Source organism: Homo sapiens, chromosome 12 (assembly GCF_000001405.40).
Source record: "Homo sapiens chromosome 12, GRCh38.p14 Primary Assembly".
In the NCBI taxonomy this organism is placed as follows: domain Eukaryota; kingdom Metazoa; phylum Chordata; class Mammalia; order Primates; family Hominidae; genus Homo; species Homo sapiens.
In genome coordinates, this window is record NC_000012.12 from 124,724,294 (window position 1) to 124,752,217 (window position 27,924).

Genomic DNA, 27,924 nt, shown 5'->3' on the forward strand with positions numbered 1-27,924 from the left:
TCTCCTTTCTCTTTTAAGAATTACCAATGCATGTATATTTTAATTTATTGTTTTCTCTAAAATTCTAGCACGGAGTGAAGGAACTGACCCCCAGGCTCCAGTGCCTGCTGGAATTAGACGCACCGCCAAGCTTTTTCCCTGCAATCGCTGGGAGTAGTAATGCTCTTATTAATAATAGCACATTATTAATATAATGTTGTTATTAATATTATGTTATATATATTATATGCTATATTATAATGTTATTAATGTAATGCTGTTATTAATACTAGCACTCAGCCCTTGCACGAACATGGGTTGCGAGCTATGTAAGCGCAGCTTGGTGGCTTCTCAACTCCTCCTAATGAGAACCCTGTGAAGTAAGAACTGTTAACGCCCCATTTTGCAGATGAGGAAACTGAGGCACTGGGTGGTTAGATAACTTGTTTGGTGCTGGGTGAGCAGCAAGAGGCAAACGGTCCTTAGATACATTGGGAGGGACGTCAGTGAGTTTTTTTTTTTTTTTTTGAGACGGAGTCTCGCTCTGTCGCCCAGGCTGGAGTGCAGTGGCGTGATCTCGGCTCACTGCAAGCTCCACCCCCCGGGTTCACGCCATTCTCCTGCCTCAGCCTCCCAAGCAGCTGAGACTACAGGCGCCCGCCACCTCGACCGGCTAATTTTTTGTATCTTTAGTAGAGACAGGGGTTTCACCGTATTAGCCAGGATGGTGTCGATCTCCCGACCTCCGCCCGCCTCGGCCTCCCAAAGTGCTAGGATTACAAGTGTGAGCCACCGCGCCCGGCCCTCAGTGAGATTTTATAGAGAATTGCTGAGAGTGTGAGAGACGATAAACATTGCCAATAGTAACCTTGTCTACCAGTCTTTGGGTAAAAACAGCAGCTGCTGTTTACCGAGTGCTTACCACGTTTCTGACACTGCTCTGAGGGCTTTGTTTGTCTGTAGTCGTTTGGTCCCCATGACAAACCGGTAAGTGAAGAAATTCACAATGCTCATTGATATATTAAAGGCACTGATAAGTCCTGATAATCCGATGAGTGAAGAAATGTTATCATCCTCATTTTCTAGGCTAGGAAACTGAGGCACAGAAAGGTGAAGTAGTGTGTCCAAGGCTGCACAGCTAGGAAGTGGCTTAGCTGGGAGCTGGAACTCAAGTCCAGAGCCCGTGCTGTTCTCTTAACCCTGCACTCCGTCACCTCTCCGGGGATTACCAGGGCCCGGATGCTGGGCATTTTCTTTTTTCTTCCTCTTGTTAGCCTATTTTGCAAAGGCAAACACTGAGACTCAGTGAAGGGTGCAGGTTGTTCAGGCCCCTGTGAAAAATGAGAAGCAGACCACCTCCTCTGGGGCACCAGATGCCAGGACGGAGGTGAACAGCACTCACCTTCACTTTGCCGCATTCAGCTCAGCAGGACAGGCCCTGGTGGACCTCCACCCTCTCCAGACCCATTGCTTGGCTCGATAGTAAAATAATGCTGACCCGAAAGATCAGAAGCAGAAGACGGCTTGCTGCTATCCACATCTGCTGCTTATTCAGCATTCTTGCTGAACTTTTAAAAAATCCCTGAGAATGCCAGAACTAGACTATAGCTTGCTTAAAATGAAAGAAAAAAAAAGGAAAAACTGATAATGTGAGGAATCTTTCCTGCAAGTCAGTGCAAATTAAATGGGTTTAAGCAAATAGGGAGGTTTATTGGCTGAAGCAATTTAAATTCTAGGAATAGCATCAGCTTCAGGCATAGCTGGATCCAGGGGCTTGGCTAATGTCATCAGGCTTGGGTATCTCCTTCTCTCTCTGGCCTGCCCTCTCCTCCATGTTGGTTTTATTAATAGACGTCACATGGTGGCAAGACGGCTACCAGGAGCTTTATGCCACATCCCCCAGGCCTGAGTCCAGCAGGAAAGAGATGTTCCTTCAGGGTACTACATACAGCAAATGCTCCAAGATCAACCTTGATTGGCCATCTTAAACCATATGGGGACAGCAGTAAGCCAGTTGGCTCAGATCCAAATCACTGGCCTGGAGTTGGGTGCACCGTCTCTGGACCAAGAGCGGAAGGTTGGATCCCCCATGGAAATCAGGACATTTTGCCCGAAGGAGGAGGAGCAGAGGCTATGGAGACAGACTCAGGTGCTCACTATACCAAGAAACGAATCAGACCCTGTGTGCTGGCATCTTCTGTTTGTCCGAGAGATCTCTCTCTTCCTTTCTCCACTGGCCCTCTGCCCCTGAAGCTGACCCACCTTAACCACTTCCACAGCCCACTGCTCTCTGCCTCTGGTTGGACTTGGCACGGGGTAGCCCGGCAGGACATGAGTGAGGTCAAGGGCTCCCTCAGGCCACTCAAGGGCCCCTCTCCTCTCCATACAGCTCCTGCTACATTCCCTCTCCTCCTGGCTTTCTGGAACTATCCCTTCCCTCCTCCCTTCCAGCCCAGGGGTGGTGGCATCACCTCCATTTCCAGCCCAGGGTTCCTCTATTCCTGCCCACACTTTTGAAAATGGCCCCTGTATGAAGCCAAGCTGGAGTTATCCACATGTGACTGTTCCTGCTTTTCCTGAAGTCTTGCACCCAGATAGATGCCCCGGAAGAAACCCAGTGCATGCTGGGTCGCCCGGATTCTCCCATGATCCCCTAGTGTCAGCCCCTCCCCCACCAGAACCCACCCCCACCCCACCCCGGCTTCCCCCAAGTCTTAAACGCCAGTGAGTTGAGAGGATGAAAAAGTTCTGGAAATGGATGGTGGTGATGGTTGCACAACAATGTGAGTGTGCTTCGTGCTGCCAAATTGTACATTTAAAAATGGCTAAAATGGTAAATTTTCTGTGATGTATATATTGCAGTAAACCACAAGTTTTAGCCTGTTAAAAACAAAAAAAGCCAATAAGCACAAATCCTCATCCAGCCAGTGTCCCAGCTTTTCTCTCTCCCTGCTCCACCTCGGGTATAGCAATTCCTGCTCGGAGGCATTTGGAGAGGAAGCCCAGTCTACTTTCGATCAATGCGGTATTGATTCGTGTTTCATGAACAAGGACAAAGGCTGATTGCCTTCCAGTGGATCTGAACTTCACACGCCCCCAGGCCTCAGGCACAAAAATGATGCAAACCATTTCCGCAGCCAACAGGGAGGAGGTTCAGCAACCGGCCCTGGGGCGGGCAGGGGAAAGAAAGGCGCTTGGCCAGCGCCACCTGGTAGGAGCCACTCCGGGGCAGAGATGACAAGGTCCGGAGCAGACACCCAAGTTCCTCTTTCCAGCACGGGAACTGAGTCACCCTGCCTGTGTCCTCCCAGCAGCTCCGTTCTGCCCGTAGGCTGGGAGTGGCCTGGTTACAAGGCCAGATGCCCACGGTCAGCAAATTAAAGACAGTCCTTTCCACTGGGAAGAACCAAGACTCCCAGGGCACACAGTAGGCCGGGTTCTAGATGCTGACACTAAAAAAGGGAGCTGAGGCCAGGCGCAGTGGCTCACACCTGTCATCCCAGAACTTTGGGAGGCCGAGGTGGGCAGATCATGAGGTCAGGAGTTCGAGACCTGCCTGGCCAACATGGTGAAACCCTGTCTCTACTAAAAATACAAAAATTAGCCGGGCATGGTGGCGGGCGCCTGTAACCCCAGCTACTCAGGGGGCTGAGGCAGGAGAATCGCTTGAGCCTGGGAGGCGGAGGTTGGTTGCAGTGAGCCTAGATCGTGCCACTGTACTCCAGCCTGGGTGACAGAATGAGACTGTCTCAAATAAATAAATAAAAAGAAGGAAGCTGAGCCGATCACTCCCTGTCCTCATTGAGTTGATGCTCCAGGGCAGCCTGTCTAGTAGAAACATAATGCCACCCACAGGTAGAATTTAACATTTCCTAGTAGCCACGTTAAAAAAGAAAAAAAAAAAAGGGAAAAAAATGTGACTGGGCTCCTTGGCTCACGCCTGTAATCCCGACACTTTGGGAGGCCGACGCGGGAGGGTTACTTGAGCCCAGGAGTTCAAGACCAGCCTGGGAAACACAATGAGACCCCATTTCTACAAAAAAATTTTAAAAGTTATCAGGGCATGGTGACACCTGCACCTGTAGTCCCAGCTACTTGGGAGGCTGAGACAGGAGGATCCTTTGAGCCTGGGAGGTTGAGGCTACAGTGAGCCTTGATCATGCTGCCACCCTCCAGCCTGGGCAACAGAGCAAGACTCTGTCTTGAAAATAATAAATAAATAAAAATAAAAAATGAAAAAAGAGATTAATTTTAATTTAATCTAATTGATCCAAAATATTATCATTTCAGCATGCACACCACATAAAAAATTAATCTGTGAGCTATTTACATGCATTTGTTTCATCCTAACATTCTGAAACCCACTGTGTATTCCACACTTAGAGCCCATCTCAATGTGGACACTAAATTCTCATCGGAAATATTTGATCTGCATTTTGATTCCATAAAACTGACAGTTGAAAAGGTACATTAATCTACTGAAGTTGTTCCATAGAGACTTAAAAGTCTCCAAGAACTGAGTATCAAAAAATCATCTTCCTTTAATATTCACATCCACACTGGCAAAACTGCTTCGGTTTTTAATTTTTAATTTAAACTAATTAAAACAAAGATATGAAGACATAAAATTCAGTTCCTCCGTCCTGATAGCCACATTTCAAGTGCCTGATAGCCACACGTGACCAGTGGCTATTATTTTGGCCAATGCCGTTTTAAATGGAGGAGACAGGCCGGGCGCGGTGGCTCATGCCTGTAATCCCAGCACTTTGGGAGGCAGAGTCTGGCGGATCACATGAGGCCAGGAATTCAAGACCAGCCTGGCCAACATGGTGAAACCCCGTCTCTACTAAAAATACAAAAATTAGCCGGGTGTGGTGGCGGGCGCCTGTAATCCCAATTACTCTGGAGGCTGAGGCAGGAGACTCGCTTGAACCTGGGAGGTGGAGGTTGCAGTGAGCCGAGATTGTGCCACTGCACTCCAGCCTGGGCAACAGAGCAAAACTCCATCTCCAAAAAATAAATTAATTAATGAAATAAATGGAGGAGACAATGAAACTATGTGTAAATGGCATCATTTCATGTCAGCAGAATCTCACAGTAGGTCCTCTTTCCTTGACTGGCTTCTTTCATTTAGCAAATTATTTTGAGACACGTCCATATTGGGGGTAGGTGTGCATGCATACATCCACCTGATAGTAAATGCCAAGAAAGAACACAGAAACTAAAGGCAGGTTGGGAGTGCTTTTAGCTAGAGAAGAGATTTGGATAGGCCTCTCGGAAGAGGTGATGTTTGGCAGACTTGAAGGCAGTGGAGATCTGTGCCACGTTTGGGTCTGGTGGAAGAGGGTCCCAGGCAGAGGGAACAGCCAGTGTGAAGGCCCTGAGGTAGAAGCATGCCTGGTGTACTCAGGAAGCAGAGCAGAGGCCGAGCGGGCTGGAGTGGACAGAGGTTGGGAGAAGAGATAGGAAAGGAAACCAGAACAGTCTCAGGGCCAGACCCCACGACCTCGTGGGGCTTTGTAATAACTAGGACTTCCACTCTGAATCCTCTGTCCCCGCCCCCAGTTCATTCCCAAAATGTCCTCTTTTCTTGCCCAGCTCTTCTCTCACTCAGCGTAGGTATTTTCAGAGTCATTTATTGTATTAGTCCATTTTCACGCTGCTGATAAAGACATACCTGAGACTGGGTAATTTATAAAGAAAAAGAGGTTTAATGGACTCACAGTTCCATGAGGCTGGGGAGGCCTCACAATCATGGCAGAAGGTGAAAGGCACATCTTACATGGTGGCAGACAAGAGAGAAAGAGAACCAAGCAAAAAGGGAAACCCCTTATAAACCATCAGATCTCATGAGACTTATTCACTACCAAAAGAATAGCATGGGGAAAACTGCCCCACAATTCAATTCTCTCCCACCGGGTCCCTCCCACAACCTGTGTAAATTATGGGAGCTACAATTCAAGATAAGATTTGGGTGAGGACACAGCCAGACCATATTATTTATGTTGTCATGCACATCAATAGTTCATTGTAAGGATATACCACCGTGTGCTGACCCACTCGCCTGCTCATGGGCTGTTGGTTTATTTCCAGTTTTTGGCTATGACAAGAAAGCAGCAATGAACATTTGTGTACAAGTCTCTGTGTAGACAGACGCTGTCATTTCTCTTGGGTGAATACCTGGAGTGGGATCACTGGGTCATACTGGAAGTGTATGATTAACTTAAGAAGCTGCCAAACTGTTTTCCAGTGTAGTTATGTGATTTCACATTCCCTCCAGCTGTGTGTGAGTTCCAGGCCCTCTGAATTCTCCCAGTGCTGGAGGGCATCAGTCTTTTTCATTTCAGTCATGCTAGCTGCTGCTGGAGTATTGCATTTTGATTTTGGACTGTGAGATCTCTAAGGTTCGGAATATTCATTCATGCTTTCAACAAATATTTGTTGAGGACCCATGAAGCACTGGGCACTGTGCCAGGAGCAAAAACAAGCATAGTCGCTGCTCCTCTGGTATGTCCAGGTTCAGGGGTGAGACTGACATTTAACAGCTGTGGGGTTACAGGGCCTTTCAGTGCATGAGAGGCCAGGAAACTGTGAGGCAGAAAAGCGTGACCTGTTCTTGTGGAGAGAGAATCAGGGCAGGCTCCCCTGAGTAAATGACTTTTTAAGAACTAGCTGGTTGGCTGGGCACGGTGGCTCACACCTGTAATCCCAGCACTGTGGGAGGCCAAGGAGGGTGGATCACCTGAGGTCAGGAGTTTGAGACGAGCCTGGCCAACATGGTGAAACCCCATCTCTACTAAAACTACAAAAAAATGAGGCAGGCATGGTGGCACATGCTTGTAATCCCAGCTACTCAGGAGGCTGAGGCAGGAGAATCGCTTGACCTGGGGAGGCTGGGGTTGCAGTGAACCAAGATCATGCCACTGTCCTACAGCCTGGGTGACAAAAAAAAAAAAATTTTGAGACAAGGTCTCACTCTATTGCCCAGGCTGGAATGCAGTGGCATGACCACAGCTCACTACAGCCTTGACCTCCCAAGCCCAAACAATCCTCCTACCTCAGTCTCCCAAGTAGCTGGGACTACAGGTGTGCACCACCGTGCCCAGCTAATATTTTTTGCATTTTTTGTAGAGACAAGGTTTCACCACGTTGCCCAACCTGGTCTCAAACTCCCGAGCTCAAGCGATTTGCCCACCTTGGCCTCTCAAAGTGCTGGGATTACAGGCATGAGCCGCCGCACCCAGCCTGAGCAATAAAGTTCTGTTGTTCATAAGCCACCAGTCTATGATATTGTATAACACAAGGGTCACCAACCCCTGGGCCGTAGACCAATACCAGTCCATGGCCTGTTAGGAGCTGGGTCGCACAGCAGGAGGTGAGCAGCGGGCGAGCGAGCATTACCGCCTCCTCTCAGATCAGTGGCGGCGTTAGATTCTCATAGACGCACAAACCCTATTGTGAACTGCGCATGCGAGGGATGTAGGTTGACTGCTCCTTATGAGAATCTAATGCCTGGTGGTCTGAAGTGGAAGTTTCATCCTGAAACCATCCTCCCCACCGACAGGCCGTGGAAAAATTGTCTTCCACAGAACTGGTCTGTGGTGCCAAAAAGGCTGGGGACTGCTGGTATAACAGCAGCCTGAACTAAGACACTCATGTAACAGAAGGCCTAGGGAAAGGCAGTTTCAGGATGATTTTGACCCCATAAAATCATCAAGAACCTAGGAGCTTCCCAGCTTTCTGCTCCACCATTCTCAGTGGGTCAGCCCTGTTTTCCCTCATAGTCATAAAGTGGCTGCTGTGGCTCCAGACAACACACCCTCACCCTCACCCAGTGAGCCAAGCAGGAAGGAAGAGAGGCAGCAAGAGGCACTTTCTTCTCGTTTCTCTCTTATTAAAATCTGCCCCCAGCCGAGTTTCCCTAACATTTTGCTTGCTAGAGCTTGGTCTCATGCCCACCCTAGACCAAGAAGAAACAGGATTCCCTTAGATCTATCACAATCAATTCCCTGGGACAGGGAGACTCACCCCCTAAATAAAATCCAGACCATTTGAGAGGAAAAGAAGGGAATGGTTGCTAAATAGCTGACCACCAGGGCCTGCCTGGCTCACAGATTGTTGTTTAACGGAATTGGTGGCTATCTCAGGAATGTCTGGCTTGCTGGCCTGAGAATTCACCCAAAGTGACACGGCAAAAGCTGAGAGATGGGCCAGGCAGCCTCGTCCCAAACACCAGGTCTCAGTTCCCAAATGTCCTCTAGGCCCCAAGGGGACCCAATGAGGGTCACACGTGGGAACAAGGGGTGACCTCCAGGAGCCCTACCCGTGAGGCTTCTGAGCGGGGGTCCCAGGCCTCTGTTCCCCACACTCCACTGAGACATCAGGTATGGAGCTGGGGCCAGGGGCCACTCAAATTGACCTTACCACTGGCCGCAGCCCAGGCAGCCACTGACATTCAGTCTGAGCGTGCTCTCTCACTCTCTCTCTCCCTCTCTTTTAAAAAGCTTTTTTTCACTTCCCTGGGGGAAACATCTTAGCAATTCCTGAACGCAGCTCTGAAGATGAAGGGCGACTTAGAAACAATGGAATGAAGGCGGTCCCCTCCCATCACCCCCCCTCAGCCGGGGAGGAGCGATGCACAGTCTGTGATCACCTTCCTTCGTTCAGCCCACCATGTGCCTGAGCCTTCTCTGAGTTCCCAGAAGGTGGTCGGGAACAAGCTCCCTCCACTAGGCCTGGCAGCCTCCTGGGGAAGGACAGACAGTCAACAAGAAAGCAAACAAACGCAGCAACGGCAGAGAAAGCTTCGTGCTGCTCAGAGTTTGGCTTGTCTACCTGAAGGTCAGAGAAGGCTTCTCTGAGCAGCTGACCTTGAGCTGAAAACTGGACGAGAAGCCAGCTCTGCAAAGACGGCAGGGAAGTGCATTCAGACGGAGGAACACCAAGCACAGAAACCTTGAAGTGGGAAGGAACCAGGTGGGCTCCAGGAACAGGAAGGGCTGAGTGGCCGGCGAGGCGCTGGGCACCTGAGGTTGTGTGGGCAGATGTGGCTGGAGGGTCTGGCTGTGCTTGGCTCCATATGGATTTGGTATTAAGTCCAAGCATACCAAGAGTACACCTTAGGCTTTGCTTGGGAATTTTTATTTTTTTTCCAGAAATCCTGGAGACAGAGCAGTTAAGAAGCTGTTCTTAGGTTTTTGTTTTTTAAAAAATAGAGATGGGGTCTTGCTATGTTGCCCAAGCTGGTCTCGAACTCCTGGCCTCAAGCAATCTTCCCACCTCGGCCTCCCAAAGCACTGAGATTACAGGCGTGAGCCACTGTACCCGGCCAGAAGCTGTCTTTGGCTCAGGAGTTTGGCTCCAACCTTTGATGTTTTCAGGGGTGACAATGTGCCCCACTGAAGAGTGCCCTTGCCACCCTCCCCTGCAGACACAGGTCATCAATGAGTGACAAGCAGAGGTGTCAGGCAGGGCTCTTTGGAAGCATTCCTATTTTATTTTATTTTATTTTATTTTATTTTATTTTATTTATTTTGAGACAGAGTCTTACTCTGTCGGCCAGGCTGGAGTGCAGTGGCACGATCTCGGCTCACTGCAACTTCGGCCTCCTGGGCTCAAACAATTCTCCTGCCTCAGCTTCCCGAGTAGCTGGGATTACAGGCATGTGCCACCACACCCAACTAATTTTTGTATTTTTAGTAGAGATGGGGTTTCACCATGTTGGCCAGGCTGGTCTTGAACTCCTGACCTCAGGTAATCCACCTGCCTTGGCCTCCCACAGTGCTGGGATTACAGGTGTGAGCCACCGCGCCCAGCCTTCTTTTTATTTTTGAGACAAGATCTCCCTCTGTCCCTCAGACTGGAGTGCAGTGGTGTGACCTCAGTTCACTGCAGCCTCGAGCTCTTGGGCTCAAGAGATCCTCCTACCTCCGCCTCTCGAATAGCTGGGATCACAGGTGTGCGCCACCATGCCTGGCTACTTTTTGTATTTTTTGTAGAGACGGGCTCTCACTACATTGCCCAGGCTGGTCTTGAACTCCTGGGCTCAAGTGATAAGCCCGCCTCGGCCTCCCAAAGTGCTGGGATTACAGACGCGAGCCACCGCTCCTGGCCAGCGTTCCTTTTCAGAGTCAGGTATAGGGAGGCAGCCTGCGGGGGGCGTGGGAGCCCCGCTTTCCGGCTGGTTGTCACCAGGGCTGGCTCTCGGCTCTCAGGCCTCCGCTTGCAGCGCAGGAGCTGACTTCTTCAAAGCCGCCGGGAGCTCCTCTGCTACTGCAACTTCCCCATGGTGTCATGCGGTCATGGGAGAGACTACACCATCACTTTTTTGTCACATGTCGTAACCTGATCCAGGCAACAACTATCCCATCGCGTTCTCACTCAAGGGAGGGATTATCCCAGGCGTGGACACCAGGGGAGAGGGGCTTAGGGGACATTGCAGGATTCTGCCTACCACAGAGGACAAAGCTTTTGGGGAGGCTTGGCCTGGTGCAGATGCTAAACCCAGAGGGGGCCAGTCCAGGGATCTCCCAGAGTTCCCCAGGGTGGTGTCCACTGTCTGAGCAGAACCCTCCACTGGGCAATTTACAGCACAAATTGCGAAGTCCTCACCCTGCATGAAGTAGATGCAATCAGGTGATTCGGGAAAGGCTCAAATGAAAGCAGGGACAAGCCAGGAGAAGGCCAGACTCAGGAGCCTCAGGAGGGCCTGGGAGGTGGCCGGCAGCTGCCACTTCACAGAACCAGAAGATGGAAGGCCCAAGGGCGGAGGAGTCAGGACTAGACTCAGTTGGGTGGGATAGAAAATCCATTCCCCCAGCAGCACAGGGCCCTTGGGGAATTCCCAATGGCTGCTGCCGGTAAATAGAAAAGAAATCCAGCTGCCCACAGAAGGTGGCCTCTATTTTACAGATTAAAAAACTAGTGCTCAGAGAGGTTAAGTGACTTGCCTAAGGTCACACAGCTAGGAAGCGGTAGAGCTGAGATTTGAACCCCCTTGATTTGACTTTCTGTCACTTGCAACCAGTAAGTCCTGATTAGTATGCCATGCGACCCTTGGCAAACCAGGGAGCAAGTTCCTGAAGCTTTTATTATAGTTTCGTTTGTGTGTGTGTGTGTGTGTGTGTGTGTGTGTGTGCGTGTACACACGCATGTATGTGTGCAGGGTTACAAGATGTACTTCTTACCAGGGGTTGTGTTTTAAAATATTTGCAAACAGGCCAGGAGCAGTGGCTTACGCCTGTAATCCCAGCACTTTGGAAGGCCAAGGTGGACGGATCACTTGAGGTCAGGAGTTCGAGACCAGCCTGGCCAACATGGTGAAACCTTGTCACTACTAAAAATACAAAAATTAGCCAGGCATGGTGGCACATGTCTATAATCCCAGCTACTTGGGTGGCTGAGGTGGGAGGATTGCTTGAACCTGGGAGGCAGAGGTTGTAGTGAGCCAAGATCATGCCACTCTACTCTAGCCTGGACGACAGAATGAGACTCCATCTCAAAAAATTAAAATAAAATAAAATATAATATAAAATAAAATAAAACAATTTGCAAGCATTGCTCTAAACTCGTGTTACTCAAAGTGTCCTCCATGGATCAGCAGCCCCAGATACTCTGGGAGCATGTTGGAAACGCAGTCTCAGGCCCCACCCTAGGTCTGCTGCAGCAGAACCTGCATTTTAGCAAAATTCTTGGTTGAGCTGTGTGCAGTTTTGAGAAGCCCAGCTCTTGTTAGAACCTAAGAGCACCCGTAGTGCCTAGGGCTCTGCAAGGAGCTCCAGGGCCCCCCATCATCTCTCAAGGCTCCCCCAGATGTGAGGGGAGCTTAGGGCAGTGACAGGAACTGAAAACAGAACCCCCAAATGCTTCCCACCCCACTGCCCAGCCCTCCCCGCTGCTGCCTCCTGGCGTAGCTCTCCCTGGGACTGTGCCCAGGGTTTCCCTCTCCCTGGGCCTCTCAATACCTCCTGGGGGCTGAGGCCCACCCGCCCAACTTGCCCGCCAGGGCCACCCGGGACAGGGCTTTGCAAGCTCCCCAGAAGTGGAAGTGGGACTTTGTTTAAAGAAACAGACCACAAAAAGGGTGGCGACCAGCTCCCCTCTGCCCTGCCATGAAGGTGTACCCACAAAGAGCTAAGCTCGCAGCAGGAGGGATGGAAGTCAGATAGTTAGACAAGTGTGGTGCTGTGGTTACCACCACAATTTCTGACTCCTGTCTCCACCCAGCAGCTCCTTGAGAACATTTATCCATCCACCCACCCACCCACGCATCCACCTACGCACCCACACACCTACCCACGCACCCGCGCACCCACCCACCCATGCACCCACGCAGCCACGCACACACCCATGCATGCACCCGGCCACCCACGCACCCACGCACGCACCCACGCATGCATCCATCCATGCACCCACCCACCCACGCACGTACCCACCCACGCACCCACACACCCGCCACGCATGCACCCACCTGCACACCTACACACCCATGCACCCACCCACCCACGCACCTATCCACGCACTTACCCACCCACTTACCCACACATTCACCCACCCATCCACCACTTACTGAGGTCCTCCTGAGTGCCAGCCACTGCTCCAGGGACTGGGGTACAACAGTGAACAGACAGGCAAGCATTCTGCCACTAACCCACTGGGTGACTTATGAAGTCGCCAAGCCACCCCAGGCCTCAGTTTTCCCTTTGGTAAAATGTGAGAGTTAAACAAGAGGCCTCCAAAACATTTCATTTTGATCTTTCTTTTGATATGGCAGTAATAAGGGTGAATGGCACACAGTAAGTGCTCAATGAGTGCCTGTCCATGAACAGACACGGCCCGGACACCACTGTCCATGCTCCCGATTTTACAGGGGCAGCCCCAGGTCCAGCCCTGCGGTGAGACAGCTGGATGATCGTTCTGCACTGCTGTGCCAGCGACGGGCCTCGGTGTGGTCATGTGACTCACTTCTGACCAAGGAGGCATCAAAGGAAGTCTGCTGGGAACTCAGGGAAAGATTTTGCTTCCTGATATAAGAGAAACACACAGAGAAGACCTCCTCTCTCCCCACCCAGCCCCTTTCTTCCAGTTTGAGAGGTTGCAGTGTAAATAACTGATGTCTGGAGCAGCTGCAGCCATATTGGAACCCTGAGACAAGAGAGATGGCAGCGTGATACGCACTGAATGGCCTGGTCTTCGATAGCATCACTGAGGGGCTGAGCCACACCGGGGAACTCATACCTCCGGACTTCTTAAGTTAAATGGCCTTGTCATCTACGCCATAGTGTGCTGGGTTTTCTGTTACCTATAGCTGAGGCATGCTAACCAATCCGGTCAGTTCTTCAAAGCCACTTCTTACCCACCTCCCAAAGCTTTGCTCAAACGCCCCTTCCCTGACCAGCGCCCATCCAGATGCCCTTGAACTCACCGCAGTCCCCAGCAGCACACTGAGCATAGATGCGGTTTAATTTGCCAGGAGAGCTGGGGATAAATCCCTAACCCTAACCTCTAACATGGGCCATGCAGAAGGAAAATCCCATTTTTCTGGTGCCCTCGTCCAAGTCAGAGCCCTGGGCTGCAGAGAGCCTGGCTCTGCATCTGCGCAGTGACTAGGTGGATTCCTAGCCAACCTCAAGGTCAATAGTGATAGCACAGGAAGCCAAACTGCATCAGAATTCCCAGCTAAGGCCAAGAAGCCAAGCAGGCCTCAGCCTTGCCATTTCCTAGCTGTGTGCCCTTGGGCAAGTGACTTCACTTCTCTGGGCCTCAGTTTCCCCATCTGTACAATGGGAACAGTAACACCTCAAAGATCATGGTGAAGGCTAAATGGAGGCAATGAAGGGAGCCAGCTAGCCACTCGGAGGCCCATTTCCCATGGGCAGGAAGTTAGCATGAGGGTGGTTGGGAGGATGACACCCCACTCCCGGGATGTGTGGGAATGAAGTTGTCTGGTAACCAGTGTGCGGCCAGGGTCATCTCACAAACTCTCTACTCTAGATCCAGCTTCCACAGAAAGTTCCAGGACATGAGCTGTCACTAACCCTTCCCTGGCTGCCACCCAACAGCAAGGTGGCCTTCCCCTGTACCTCCCAAGGGTCCGAGGCCGTCCCCAGGCCCCTGCTCAGGACCACATGCTGGCCAGGCCCCGGCTGTTTCCCGCTGCTGTGGGAAGACGAGACAGGCGAGATGACAGGAAGGCCTTTTCTATCCAAAGTGTAATCAGACACCCCGCGTACCTGCTCCCACCTCACTATGAGGAGAGGCCAATGAGTAATAAGATCTGACGTTTCTGGAGCATTGCTACGTGCCAGATGTGTTCTAGCACTTTCTATCAACTTATTTCATCCTCAGAACAACCCTGTGCAGTAAATACTATTATCATCGCCATTTTACAGATTAAGAAACCAAGGCTCAGAGAGGTTAAGTAACTTGCCCAGGGTCACACAGCTAATAGGTAGTGGAGCTGGGCTTCGCACCCACCTGATTTGACTTTCTGCCATTTGCAGCCAGTCAGTCCTGATTAATGTGTCATGTGACCCTGGGCACCTGCTCTGAACCAAACTGGAAGGCGAGCTGGCCGAGAAGCCCCTTCCTTCTCAACAAACGGGTCAAAGCTCCAGTGCTCCTACTCCGACAGAAACCCCGACAAATGGAGATGGCGGTGGCCAGGGTCAGCAAGAGAAGCAGGCGGCCTGGGTTGGGGGCCCCGGGACCACACACGGAAGGCGCCGCGTTGCCTTCTCACCCGGCACCAGCAGCCCCAGGCAGCTTAACCCAGGAGGTCACGCGTCTCTTTTGAAGTCTGAGTCACAGGACGAAGATTCCATTTAACGCCCCGATAAAGCAAAACCACTGAGAAAACAAACGAGAGGCTGCCCAGGCATGAAAACGCCCACCCTCCGGGAGCCCCGGGCTAGCTGCACGGCAACGGGGCTCGTTCCAAGCCAGCCTGTCGCTCAAGAATGATCCCAGCCCAGGAAGATGCAAGGCCGTGACTATCAGCCCCATTTTACGGGTGCGGAAATGGAGGGCCAGAGAGGTTGCACCACCTACGCAAGGTCACACAGCCCATGAATGAGACCGGAAATGGCGAATAAAATTCAGGTCTCCTCATGCCCCCCAGTGCTCTTCCCTCCTTCCTCAGGGCCAGGTGAGAGTTCTCCCTCCCCTGCTGTAGAGAGCAGGTACTGTTTTGGGGTACACCGCATTCATTTCTCTTTTTTAAGAGACAGGGTCCCGCTCTGTTGCCCAGGCTGGAGTGCGGTCATGCAATCATAGCTCACCTCAGCCTGGAACTCTTGGGCTCAAGCAATCCTCCCACACTGGCCTGCTAAAGTGCTGAGATCACAGGCGTGCGCCACTGCATGCAGCCTCATTCCCCTTTTCAATGGGGGCATCACTCTGAATTTCCTCCACGCAGTCCAGGACAGTCAGGTGGCCTCCACCCCCTGAAAGGGCAGAGCCTGTGCCCCAGGCCTGGCCAGTCAGAGCACTGCTAGCCAGGTGACTGGCTCAGAGACGGGCATGCGACCCGAGCTGGTCCCATCAGAGGGAGGGCTAGGTAATTGTGCCAGAGTTACCAGGGAGGAAATATTCCATCTCCCCCTAGACTGGAACCAAGGGAGATGTGAGTTAACACAACACAAGTGTATTATTTTACAGTTCTAGAGGTCAGAAGGCCACAGCGGGCCTCACTGGACTAAAAGCAAGATGTTGGCAAGGCTGTGTTCCTTCTGGAAATTGCAGGGGAGCATCCATTCTCTGCCTTTTCCAGCTTCTAGAGGCTGCCCGCACTCCTAGGCTCATGGCCCCTTCCAGCAAAGCCATCACTCCTGCCTCTGCCTCTGCCTCTGCAGTCACAACTCCTCTCTCTGACTCATGCTCCTCTTTCACTGATAAGGAACCTTGTGATTACATCACCCTTATGATAATCCAGGAGAATCCCCCCATCTCAAGACGTGTAACGTCATTAGATCTGCAAGGTCCCTTTTGCCATGTCAGCTAACATATTCACATGTTTCCTGGGATTAGGACATGGACATCTTTGGGGGTGGTTATTTTGCCCACCATAGCAATCAGAACCATAGCAGGCAGGGTGCCAAGATGGAGAGGAAGTAAATCCTGGTGAATATTTTGAGCCCCCGGATCAAGCTGTACCTGAAGGTATGTACTTAACTTTTCAGTTATATCATGATGATTAAATTTCCTTTTTTCCCCTAAGCTAGTTGGAGGCTTTTGTTTTGCTTTGTTTTGTTTTACCTTTTGCAAACAGAGAGCCTGGCTGAATTAACTCCCAACCCATAAAGATTTCACCGTGAGAAATTACCAGCTTGCATGTGTCTCTCACATGAGGCTGAAATCTTGAGAGTAAAGACAACACCTCCTATAACTTTGTCTCATCAGCACCTAGCAAAGGAGGCACTGAGAAAATGTGTGTTGATTGAATAACAATTTGCTGATGGAATAAACACCCTCCTACATGCCCTCCCTCAGTGGCCATCACGAGAACAAGAGGGCAGAGAGAAGCCTTGGCAGGATTTCCCAGGGGTGAATGGCAGGCCAGTCATTTCCCTCTGGGGGTGGCGGCTTCCTCAGAGAGAGGCGACCCAGACAGAAGTCCTGGAGAAAGCCTGAGTTCCATGGGCAGTGAGTGGCCCTGCCACCCAGATCCAGCGCTTCCCAGTTGATCCCGGGACAGCAGCTGCAGCACTCTGCCGACAAATCTTTCTGAGTCATTTCTGGTCAGGAAGCAGCTCGCTGTCAGATGAAAGTCACAGCGGCTCCCTCCACACACCTGGAGGAGGCAGCAGCCTCCTCATTTTCCACAGCCGAAGAGCTCGGCGGCCATGGCCCTGCAAGGAGGGTTTTATGGGGCCAGGAGAGGAGTCAGAAGAGAAGCCTCCCAGGAGGACCCGCATGTCCTGGTCTTGGTCCCCAGAACTGAGCTATCATTTTACCCGATGACTAGGTCACTGCCATTCTTGTTCCCACGTGCGTCTGAGACACATGGTCCAAGGCAGGCTCCCTCCCTCTCTTCTGCGCCCCCCTCCCCAGACATACCTGCCTGTTCTTTTCTGATTTATCCTCTGTGGGCCCCCAGGGAAAGGCCTCATCCCTTGACAGATCCACGCTGAGCCCTGGTACAGCAGTGGGGCGGGCCTTTGCATATGCTGTTCCCTCTAGCTGGCACACTGTTCCCCACATGGTCTAAACTTTAGCTACTGTCACCCAGGGATGCTCAAAGACTGAACTGAAACATTGCTTTTTGTTCATGTACTCAACTGGCATTTATCATGATCATTGGTGATACGGATACAGCACTTACAATGTGCCAGACTCTGTTTCATCTATTACAGATACACATAACAACTTATTTAGTCTTCACCAAAAGGCTAAGAGGTGGGGAAATTGAGGCACGGGTAGTAAGTGACAGACCCAGAATTTGGACCCAGACAGAGCTGCCCCCAGGGACTGGGCGCTCAACCCTTGGGCCACACCATGCTCGACAGATTTCCTGGACTCCTGGACTTTAGCCAAGTCCCCCTGCTGTGCCCCCACCCCCAACTGCCTACCAGACCCCGTGAGCAGGGGCAGGGGCTGCTTCGTTCACCTGTGACCCCCAGCACCCTCACTGAATGGTACATCAATAAATAAATGAATGAATTGCAACCAAGCCTTGTGACCTTGGGCACTTAACAGTCCTGTGCCTCAGTTTCCCCTCTGTGGAATAGGGACAATAATGGTATCGACTCTGACAAAAGGGGAGTCCTGACAAGGAATTTGAATGAGAAGGAATTTCCTGATAAGGAATTTGAATGAGAGATGGGGGGATCTCAAAATACACCAGTGATTTCAGTCACACTGCTCCACAGAGGCCCAGGCATGAGTGACGTTATATAAATATTTAATAACTTGATGGTCTGGGCTCCCATCCAATGGAATGAAACCTGGATGTAAACACCGGGCACAGTGTCCTTATGTGGATCGGTGTGTCTGACCCCTGGGCACCCGCTGGGGGTGCAGCTCCACCAGGCCCAGTGCTCTGGAGCTCCCGCAGACGCCACCTGCCACCACGCATAAGCCAAGGTGAACAGGCAGCCGCAGGAAGGGCGTCCAGATGGGTGAGTCGCTGGGACCCTTTGCAGACTCCCGAGGGGCGGTGGAGCCCACAGAAAATGCAGTGGGGCTGCAGAGCCTGGACTCCCCACCCAGGCCAGATGTCCTCAGCTCAAGACCCACCAGGCGCTTCCTCCCCGCTGGTCTACAGTGCCTGAAACGTGGGCCTCCCCGACGCGGGCAGTGGGTCTGTTGGAGTGGCCAGAAGGGTCCTGTTAGGGAACCTGTGGATGGCTCAGGATTTTAGAATACTCCGAGCCTGGGGTGCCCAGAGAGCGGACCTTCGGAACCCACATGAGTGTCTCTGCTTGTGACTCCCGGCAGCTCCTTAATCCTAAAGAAGCCAGATCCGAATCTTGCCAAATTGTAGCCAGGAGTTCTCGAGCAGCCGGAGAGCGATGGATTTCCACCGGCAGAGGAAAGATCCAGCTTTAGGAGCAGAATCACACCTGCCAGCTGGCCCTAGCAAGCTGTGGTCTCTGGGAGGCCAGGGACGAGAGCCCACTCCCTCCTCCGTTCATGGCTCAGGGTCGTGGCCAGAGCCTGCCTGTGTAGAGGCGACTCCAGCAGCCCCCAGCCCCGCCCAGCTCTGCCCACACAGCTGCAAGGCCAGCATCCTGCCCTTTGTCAAGTTCACCACAGTCATGTCCCACCCCCCATTCGCTGAAATCAGCCCCAAATTGCCTGGAAACCCAGACCCCGCACCCCCTCCCCAGCTTTCCTTCTTCATGGAGTTTCTATTTCAGAACAAGGAAACAGATACCCCCAAAACAATTAAAGAAATAAATCTATAATTACAAATTGTACTACGTGCCATGGGGAGAAATGGCAAGCAAAGGAGATGGGCTACTTTTAAGGATGAGTTTTGACACCAAAATAGTTCCAGGATATTTCCTGGGTTTGTGAGAACAAGGGTTTTTATCCCACGAAAGAGAGAACAAAGAAAGGAAAGAGGGAGGGAAAAGAAAAGGAAAGAAAGAGAGGGGAGAAGAAAGGGAGGGAGAGAAGTCAGGAAAGAGAAAAGGGCCACTGATTCCCCAGAACCATGGCCTCATCCAGGGGCCATTACAACGCAGCCATGAGACAAATCCAGCCAGTAGCAAAGGAGAAGAGTTCGCAGCCTGCACACTAGGAATAATTTTTACATTTTTAAAATTTTTATATATTTATTCATTTATTTGAGACAGGGTCTTGCTCTGTTGCCCAGGCTGGAGTGCAGTGGCCCAATCACAGCTCACTGCAGCCTTGAACTCCTGGGCTCAAGCAATCCTCCCACCTCAGCCTCCCGAGTAGCTGGGTCTACAAGTGCATGCCACCACACCCGGCTAATTTTTTTTTAAACACTGGGTCTCACTACGTTGCCCAGGATGGTCTCAAACTCCTGGCCTCAAGTGATCCTCCTGCATAGGCCTCCCAAAGCAATGGGATGACAGGCATGAGCCACCGCACCTGGTCATTCTTTACATTTTTAAGGAGTTTTTACAAACAAAACAAAAAATAACAAAGAATGCACAACAGAGGCCTCATGACGCACAAAGCCTAGAATATTGACTATCTGGCCCTTGACAGAGCACGCTTGCCATCTCCGAATCCCGCCACTGACTCCTGCCTGGGCCAGCCGTGAAAAGCAGAAAGAAGGGACAGATCAGACGGCCGAGAATTTTCCATTTCTGCCCACGAGGCCAAGCACCATCCATCACAAACCTCTAAACGCCGAGGCCTGGAAGGTTAAGTGATTTCTGCTCCAGCTCAGTGAGGCGAGGTCAGGGGCCGGCCAGAGAATGGATGTCCTCATGCACCAAAGAGAAAGGAGTCATTGCCCAGCCTCTACCATTAGCCATTGCTCATCGGCTGTTTAGGAAGCAGGGGCATTAATTTTGCTTGTTCCACGCGTGGTGTTTTATGAAATAAGGGGAGAGAAAAGGCCTATTTGTCAGTCAGGGCTCCTGGCTTCAAGTGACAAAATTCCCAATTCAAAGTGGCTGAAGCGACGGAGAGAGTTTATCGGCTCATGTTACTGAAAAGTCCAGGGGTTGGGTGAGTTTCAGGCACAGCTGGATCCAGGGGCTCACAATGGCACCACCAGGACTCATTCTCTCCATTCCTCTGGGTGTTGTTGTTGTTGTTGTTTTGGGTTTTTTTAGATGGAGTCTCGCTTTTGTTGCCCAGGCTAGAGTGCATTGGCATAGTCTTGGCTCACTGCAACCTCTGCCTTCCGGGTTCAAGCAATTCTCCTGCCTCAGCCTCCCTTGTATTTTTTGGTAGAGACAGGGTCTCGAACTCCTGACCTCAGGTGATCTGCCCACCTTGGCCTCCCAAAGTGCTGAGATTACAAGCATGAGACACCACGCCTGGCCCTCTGGGTTGGTTTTATTCTCAGGCAGGCTCTCCCGTCCTAAGGTAAGAATCTCACTGATACCCGACTACATCATGTGACCCTCCTTTGGACCAATGACTGCTGTCAGAGGATGGGATGACCTGATTGGCCAAGCCTTGGTCATGTGCTCCTCCAGGAGCCAGGGAGGCGGGGTCAGCCCCACCTGAACTACAGATGATGAGAGAAAAGAAGAAAGCTGTTTTCCTCAACGAGATCCGGGGCGCCATTACCAGGAGGAACAGATGCTGAGTTGGTAAAAGCAACAGCTGTCCCCAACAGAAGCAAACTCCTATTTCCCAGGCCCCTTGGCTAAGTCTCACCACCACCCATTTTACAGCTGAGTAAACTGAGGTCTTGGAGGTGAAGTCAGTCTCCTTCTTTGGTGATGCAGTCGGCACCCCAGTCCCAATCTAGGTCTGATTCATGCTCAGGCTGTTCACATTGACCAGCGTGCATCTCTAATCCTGCCCTCCAAGAAGCCTGCACACAGTTGGTGTGCAATAAATGCACAGCACATCAAATTGTTGTTAAGAGTCTGCCCCTGCCCACTGGACCATAAGATGCCTGAGGGCAGAGACCATGTCTGTCCTGTTCACTGTGGCACCCCAACACCCAGAGCGTAGTAGGTGCCCCCCCCAACGCTTGGTAAATGAATGAATGACTCCCTGGCGTATAGTACGCGCTCCACAAATACTGGACAAACATGTATCTCTGTGGATGCTCCACAAATACCTGCTAAGTGAATGCAAGTCTGTCTAGGGCCTCACGCACAGTAGGTACTCCACAAACAGTGGTAAATGAACAGATTCTTAGTGCCTGCACATAGTGGGTGCTTAGTAAATATTTAGTGAATCAATGAGTGGATCTCGATGGGAACCAAGCTGCCTGGATGCTCAAATATTTCCAGATCATTAACAAGATAGAGAGAGGAGAGAGATTAGGGGGCTGGTGGGGGAGGAATGAATGAGTGAAAGAATGAATGAAGGAAGGAAGGAATGACAGAAACCTTTGCTGGACTTTAGTGCTCAGACAAGGATCCACAGTCCTTGCGGCTCCACAGCGAGAATCAAGGCTGCCTGGAAGGAAGACCCAGTTTTGGAAAGGGCGCTGGGTCTTTGTGAGCTAGGAGAGGGGGCGGCGGGGCTGGCAGCAGAGTCAGGAGGAAGGGAGGTCAGCCAGGGCGGGCGAGCAACGGGGCCGTGCCAGGGACACCGCGCCCCGGGCAGGGCCTGCTCCCCCTGCCCCGACCTTGCCTCCCGTTCCACAATAGAGCATCCATTGTAAGTGGGTAATTGGGTTCCGGCACATCCCCTCCCCCGGCTGGGGGTGGAAGCAAAGGGAAACACAATCTGTTTTCTATTTGTCACGGCTGCCAAGACGCCACTCCCTCCCCCAGCCTCCGCTCTGGCTGGCCCGCTGAGCCACAGCCGCTGCGACATTCCTTGGCCTGGGCTGAGCCTGCATTCAGAGCTGCCCACCCCCGCTGGCTGACCCAAGAGAAACCACGTGACAGAGACCCAGAATCAGCCTCAGGGGCCTCCTGGCCTCGTTCCCCAGCCTCCCCCATGGGAAGCCAAAACCACAGCCCTCGCTGGAGGCTTTCCACCCCAAGGAGGACTCACATCCTGGCTCCCTCTCTTTTTAGCTGTGTGACCTTGAGCCAGTCACTCAGCCTCTCTGTGCCTGTTTCCTTCTCTAAAATGGGGAGGATAGTAATGATAGAGAGGCCCTCTTGCGTGTTAAACATACTCCTCCAGGCAGAGTGCAGAGCACATAGAAAGGGTTTGGTCGCTGTTAGCTGTCATTTGATTTATTCTTTTAGGGAGTGAGTGGGACCTTCCTGGTTTCAGTGTAATTCGCAGAGTTGGGTGTCTCTGTTCCCGAACAATTTGAAGTGGGGGAGACAAGGGTAAATGCTCAGGGGGCCCCATGCCTGAGCCGCAGGCTGCCTCACTGCACTGCCCACTCACACGCAAAGGGCCTGTTGGATGCCTCATGTGCGCCCAGCTCACACTGACCTGACAGGAGAGGATCAGAGAGGTGAGAGGAGGAACATACAGAAAAGTCAAAGGTCTGAGCTCTGCCTATGAGGGGCTGGCGACCCGTAGTGTTGGGTTAGAAAGCAAACAGGCTCTGCTGACATGTCCCTAAGCCCCTGAGTTCTGTGGGAGTTGGGGAACTGCAGCAGGCTTGGAGGACTTCCTGGAGGAGGGGAGCCAGGTTTGAATCCTGCCTCTGCTGTGGGTCTTGGGCAATGTCTTCACCGCTCTGGACTTTGTGATTTCATCTTTTGGGGACTTCTTCAAGAAAAAGAACAGCACAAGTCAGCCAGGCCTTTAACAGGTAAGGTTAGGGCAATTTCAGAAGAAACCAAGACACCTTGAACTTGGCTTTCGTTGTTGGATGAAATCCCGGGGTGGCCTTGACTTGGATGTTCAGAGTAATCCTGCTTCAGCCCCGCAAAGGGCCTGTGTGGACAGATGTGCACCTGGGGCTCCAACCCCAAGCCCCTCCACACCTTGGGCAATCACTGAACCTCCCAGACTCAGTCTCCACATCTGTAAAAGGGGACTTCAGAGGCACCAGCGTGAGAGCTTAAGCTAACAGACTTGGCACACAGCAACTGTTCAATAGATCTTAGCAACTACCCCTAATTCCCAGAGGCAGAGGCGTCTGAGAAAAGCGGAGGCAACAGACAGCAGAGGCCACAGCTTATTTGTGGACAGCAGCGGGGCCCTCACTCCCCTCTTGATGAATAAACCTGCACATGGTAGTAATGGTCCACATGAGTTCTTTCATGACCTCAGGTGCATAAAATCGGATTAATCATTGTCTTGTGACTCACTCCCATGGTTGGTGAAGCCTGACCTGTTTTGTTTTATGGGTTTATTTCTTCATTTCTTTTTGTGGTTTTGAATTTGTTTCACAATATAATGGACACTCATGAAGCTACCCCCAATGCAAGAACAGAACATAGGCAGGGACACATCTGCCCCCAGACTCTCCCCAGAAGTAAGCCCCACTCCTCGATTTAAATAAACACGTATTTTGTCCTCACTGTGGGCTTTGGGCATGAGCATGTTTGTGCCTAAACCGGTGCTTCTCACACGACAGTGTGCTCAGTCACTTGGGAGACTGTGGCCCAGCCCAGAGCATCCAACTCAACAAGTCTGGAGGAGAGCCCGAGAATGTGCATTGCCAACACGTTTCCAGGAGCTTTTGCTGCTGCAGCTCTGGGACCACACACTTCGAGAAGCTCACCCTAAAGAATGTATTATCAGGCCGGGCGAGGTGGCTCACACCTGTAATCCCAACTCTGTGGGAGGCCAAGGCGGGAGGATCACTTGAGGTCAGGAGTTTGAGACCAGCCTGACCAACATGGTGAAATCCCGTCTCTACTAAAAATACAAAAATTAGCTGGGTGTGGTGATGCACGCCTGTAATCCCAGCTACTCAGGAGGTTGAGGCAGGAGAATTGCTTGAACCCGGGAGGCAGAGATTGCAGTGAGCCGAGATGACGCCACTGCACTCCAGCCTGGGTGACAGAGTGAGACTTTCAAACAAAAAAAAAAAGAATTGATTATCGAGTCATAGTTGTTTTTAAACCTCCTAACACAAGGGTCATGGTGTATGTGGTCTTCTGTGACTAGGTTTTAGGTTTTGTTTTTTAACTCTCCACAGATGAGTCTTGATTTTACCTGAAGTGAGATTGACTCCGGGCACTTTGGTAGTGTCTGGAGACATTTTTGGCTGTCACAACTGGTGGAGAGGGTGCTGTGGCTCCAGGTATGCTGCGAAACGTCCCACAACCCACAGGACGGGCCCCATCACGAGGGGTGCACTGGCCTCCAATGTCCGTAGTCCCAAGAGACGCGAAGACGCACGTCCGCGCAAGAACTTGTACACAAATGTGCATAGCAGCGTTATTCACAGGAGCCAAGAAGTGAAAACAGCCCGAAAGTCCACCCGCTGACGACTCCATAAACCACACATGGTCTGTCCATGCAATGGAATATGACCAGCCACAAAACAGATTCAGCACTGACACGCTACAAAGTGGACAAACCTCGAAACATGATGCAGAGTGAAAGACGCCAGACACCGAAGGCCACACAGTGTCCGGTCCCATTTCTATGGAAAGCCCAGACCAGGCGGACCCGTAGAGCTGTACAGTAGGTTGGTGTTTGCCAGGGGCCGGGGGAGAAAGGAACAGGGGGTGACTGCGCATGGAACAGGGTTTCGTTTGTGCTTTTTTTTTTTGAGATGGTGTTTCACTCTTGTTGCCCAGGTTGGGGTGCAATGGTGTGATCTCAGCTCACTGCAACCTCGGCCTCCCAGATTCAAGCGATTCTCCCGCCTCAGCCCCCAAGTAGCTGGGATTACAGGCATGCACCACCACGCTCAACTAAATTTTTTTTTTTTTTTTTTTTTTTTAGTAGAGATGGGGGTTTCACCATGTTAGTCAGGCTGGTCTCAAACTCCTGACCTCAGGTGATCCACCCACCTCAGCCTCTTCTAAGTGCTGGGATTGCAGGTGTGCACCACTGCTCCCGGCCCTTTTTTTTTTTTTTTTTTTTTTTGGACAGGATTTCACTCCCATCACCCAGGCTGGAGAGCAGTGGTATGATCTCAGCTCACTGCAGCCTCTGCCTCCTGGGCTCAGGTGATCCTGTTGCCTCAGGCTCCTGTGTAGCTGAGACCACAGGCACACACCACCATGCCCAGCTAACTTGTGTAATTTTTGTATAGATGGGGTCTCGACATGTTGCCCAGGGTGATGTTGTACTCCTAAGCTCAAGTGATCCTCCCACCTAAGCCTCCTGAAATGCTGGGATCACAGGCGTGAGCCACCGCGCCTGCCTGGGTTTCCTTTTGAGGCTTGAAGATGCTGCTGCTGCACACATTCTTAGTCATGTCGCCTGGGACGCACGTTCAAGAATTCTGCCTTGGCGCACACCAAAGAGAAAAATTACTGAGTCTTCAAGAACAGGAAAGCTCCACTTTACTGGAAAATGTTGGCATTATGTTGAGTACTTGCTACTTGCACCCGGCACTGGGCTAGATAGCGACCTATTTTCTCATGTAATTGTCCCTGCACTAGTATTCTTGGGTCCATTTTAGAGATGAGGAAACTGAGACTCAGAGAGGGGGATTAACTGGCCTGGCCCAAAAGTGGCAGAACAGCCTTAAGCTCTTGGCCACTCATCCTACAGCTCACTCCCGTCACTCCCCTTGGAGCCTGAGAGACGGTTCCCCAAACAGGCACACTGCAGGCAGCGGGGCGGGGAGGGGGCTTGGCAGAAGCCACGGACATCCCCCCCGGCAATGGCCTTTGAATAATTCACCAGCCGCTTCCAGCCCAGCCCAGTGGTAAACACTTGTTTAGAAAGTAACCAAGAGCCTCCAACAGGTTTCCCAGAATGTGGCCTGCTGAAATTTCTGGAACCCCTGGCAAGCCTACATAACAAATCCCAGCCACCTATGCCCTCAGGTACACAGAACCGTCCACCACCCCAATGCCTCCTGCCTGCCCTGTGTCCAAACTTCAAAAAGTGCCTGCACACCCACACAGAGAGGAAAAGCACAGCTACAGCGCATGCAGGTCTGCAAGCCGCCAACCTGGTTCCCAGCAGAGAGGAAAAGCACAGCCACAGTGCATGCGGGGTCTGCAAACCACCAACCTGGTTCCCAGCAGAGAGGAATAGCACAGCCACAGCGTATGCGGGTCTGCAAACCGCCAACCTGGTTCCCAGCAGAGAGGAATAGCATAGCCACAGTGTATGCGGGTCTACAAACCGCCAACCTGGTTCCCGATGCCAGTTTTACTGTGAACTTGCTCTGTGACCACAGGGCAGTGACCTGACCTCTCTGAGCTCCAGTCTCCTCACTTAATATAAGAGGGATATCAAGGCAACATGCATACATGTCAGGCCGCAAACCCCGATCTGCAAGATATAACTGATTTTTATTTCTTTCCAATTGACTGGGGGCTGATTCCAAACCCCATCCTCCCAGGATGAAGGAAGATTCAGTCTCAGGATTGGGGCTCCTCCATGCTGGGTCGGATCAAAGACCAAATGTCCATGAGGTCCCTCCAGTCACTGGTTCCCCTGGGCACCCTGGAGAGACCTGGGATGGGGAATGGGGACTGTGAAGTGGTCCTTTCTGGGGTGAAGGGGGCGGGCCTTGTCTGTCCTGGAACTCTTGGCTTAGGGCGCCCTCTTCCTGGTGCAGGACACAAATTCTAGACCCCTCACCTCCAGAGCATTGCGGCAGAACCAGGTCACCAGGCCTGCCTCACTACCTGCTCCCAGCACACGAAAATCTCGCTCCCTCTCTCCATTTCCCTCCAGAACCAGCAACAGCTTTCCTCGCAAGCTCAGGTGTGACCAACGTGTAGTTCTCCTGTTCTGTGGGAGTAAAACTGGCTGGGCACACGGCCACAAAGCCTGAGACCCGGAGACCTCGCTCCCCCTTCCCTTGCTTCTGCTGGAATGTGAATGGAAGTGTCCACACCTGCTTCACGGGCTTCTCCCTCTCCCCCTTTCTGAGAGCTGGAATGTGGGTCTGGTTTTAACACTGCTTCAACCACGCCATGAGGACCATATCCAGGCGGGATGGACGACAGGATGGAAGGGGCTGGGCCCCAATTACTGTAAGGCAAAGCTCCTGGCCGTCCTGACGGCCCGCCTCCGTCAGCCCTCTTACAGTAGAGAGAAACAAGCTTCTCTCTTGCTTTAGCCAATGTTGCATTGGAGTTTCTCTTCTTTCTCTCTCTCTTTTTGTTTTGTTTTGTTTGTTTTTGAGACAAGGTCTTGCTCTGTCGCCCAGGCTGGAGTTCAATGGCTCTATCATAGCTCACTGCCACCTTGACCTCCTGCCTCAGCCTCCCAAGTAGCTGGGACTGCTGGTGTGTGCCACCATGCCCACGTCCAGCTAAATTTTTTTTGTATTTTTTGTAGAGACAGGGTCTCACTATGTTGCCCAGGCTGGTTTCAAACTCCTGGCCTCTAGTGATCCTCCTACCTCAACCTCCCAAAGCACTGAGATTACAGACATGAGCCACCGTGCCCAGCCTGGAGTTTCTTTGTTACAGCAGCTGAATCTATACCCTGACTAATACATCGAGTTTTCACAAAAGGCCAGTATAGATGGACTATCTTCCAGAGGCTTCTCATCTCTGCCCAGAAAAACAAATATCGAGGAAAGGGCTGGATGTTGCCTTGGAATTGAGGGAGGGAAATCACAGGGTGAATAAACACAGATGACTATCTCAGTAAAGAACCTGCTTACCACAGTGCCTTCCTTGGGGGGTGGTTTGAAGGACCCCCAGGGACTGATGCATACAAGACAGCCGGCTCCTGAGGCCTGGGGCACAGCGAGCGCCGACTGCCAGAAAACACCGTGGCCGCGGGGCGGCTGCACTGAGCCTTGTCAATAGTGAGCACTTTGCCGTG

General features: G+C 51.7%; 1 long non-coding RNA gene across 1 annotated transcript, besides 9 other annotated features; it reads left to right on the forward strand.

Annotated features, from left to right (window-relative positions):
- Window positions 6,825-7,429: an enhancer, noted in NCBI's record as "H3K27ac-H3K4me1 hESC enhancer chr12:125215664-125216268 (GRCh37/hg19 assembly coordinates)". NCBI's record gives its function as "activates a minimal SCP1, AML or CMV promoter by ChIP-STARR-seq in primed H9 embryonic stem cells {active_cell/tissue: H9 hESC(primed)}" and the evidence as "EXISTENCE:reporter gene assay evidence [ECO:0000049][PMID:30033119]".
- Window positions 7,430-8,033: an enhancer, noted in NCBI's record as "H3K27ac-H3K4me1 hESC enhancer chr12:125216269-125216872 (GRCh37/hg19 assembly coordinates)". NCBI's record gives its function as "activates a minimal SCP1, AML or CMV promoter by ChIP-STARR-seq in primed H9 embryonic stem cells {active_cell/tissue: H9 hESC(primed)}" and the evidence as "EXISTENCE:reporter gene assay evidence [ECO:0000049][PMID:30033119]".
- Window positions 9,573-10,347: an enhancer, noted in NCBI's record as "H3K4me1 hESC enhancer chr12:125218412-125219186 (GRCh37/hg19 assembly coordinates)". NCBI's record gives its function as "activates a minimal SCP1, AML or CMV promoter by ChIP-STARR-seq in primed H9 embryonic stem cells {active_cell/tissue: H9 hESC(primed)}" and the evidence as "EXISTENCE:reporter gene assay evidence [ECO:0000049][PMID:30033119]".
- Window positions 9,573-10,396: a biological region, named in NCBI's record as "H3K4me1 hESC enhancer GRCh37_chr12:125218412-125219186".
- Window positions 10,237-10,396: a silencer, noted in NCBI's record as "fragment chr12:125219076-125219235 (GRCh37/hg19 assembly coordinates)". NCBI's record gives its function as "represses an EF-1alpha promoter that drives an FKBP-Casp9 reporter gene in an ReSE screen in phorbol 12-myristate 13-acetate-treated (for megakaryocytic differentiation) K562 erythroleukemia cells {active_cell/tissue: K562(+PMA)}" and the evidence as "EXISTENCE:reporter gene assay evidence [ECO:0000049][PMID:32094911]".
- Window positions 10,348-11,122: an enhancer, noted in NCBI's record as "H3K4me1 hESC enhancer chr12:125219187-125219961 (GRCh37/hg19 assembly coordinates)". NCBI's record gives its function as "activates a minimal SCP1, AML or CMV promoter by ChIP-STARR-seq in primed H9 embryonic stem cells {active_cell/tissue: H9 hESC(primed)}" and the evidence as "EXISTENCE:reporter gene assay evidence [ECO:0000049][PMID:30033119]".
- Window positions 18,011-18,894, forward strand: LOC124903045 (uncharacterized). Its single transcript, XR_007063509.1, has 2 exons — window positions 18,011-18,095; window positions 18,415-18,894. It is a non-coding gene; the product is annotated as an uncharacterized LOC124903045 (long non-coding RNA).
- Window positions 20,639-20,688: an enhancer, noted in NCBI's record as "active region_7298". NCBI's record gives its function as "activates an Ori minimal core promoter by ATAC-STARR-seq in GM12878 lymphoblastoid cells {active_cell/tissue: GM12878}" and the evidence as "EXISTENCE:reporter gene assay evidence [ECO:0000049][PMID:35858748]".
- Window positions 25,263-25,783: an enhancer, noted in NCBI's record as "H3K4me1 hESC enhancer chr12:125234102-125234622 (GRCh37/hg19 assembly coordinates)". NCBI's record gives its function as "activates a minimal SCP1, AML or CMV promoter by ChIP-STARR-seq in naive H9 embryonic stem cells {active_cell/tissue: H9 hESC(naive)}" and the evidence as "EXISTENCE:reporter gene assay evidence [ECO:0000049][PMID:30033119]".
- Window positions 25,784-26,304: an enhancer, noted in NCBI's record as "H3K4me1 hESC enhancer chr12:125234623-125235143 (GRCh37/hg19 assembly coordinates)". NCBI's record gives its function as "activates a minimal SCP1, AML or CMV promoter by ChIP-STARR-seq in naive H9 embryonic stem cells {active_cell/tissue: H9 hESC(naive)}" and the evidence as "EXISTENCE:reporter gene assay evidence [ECO:0000049][PMID:30033119]".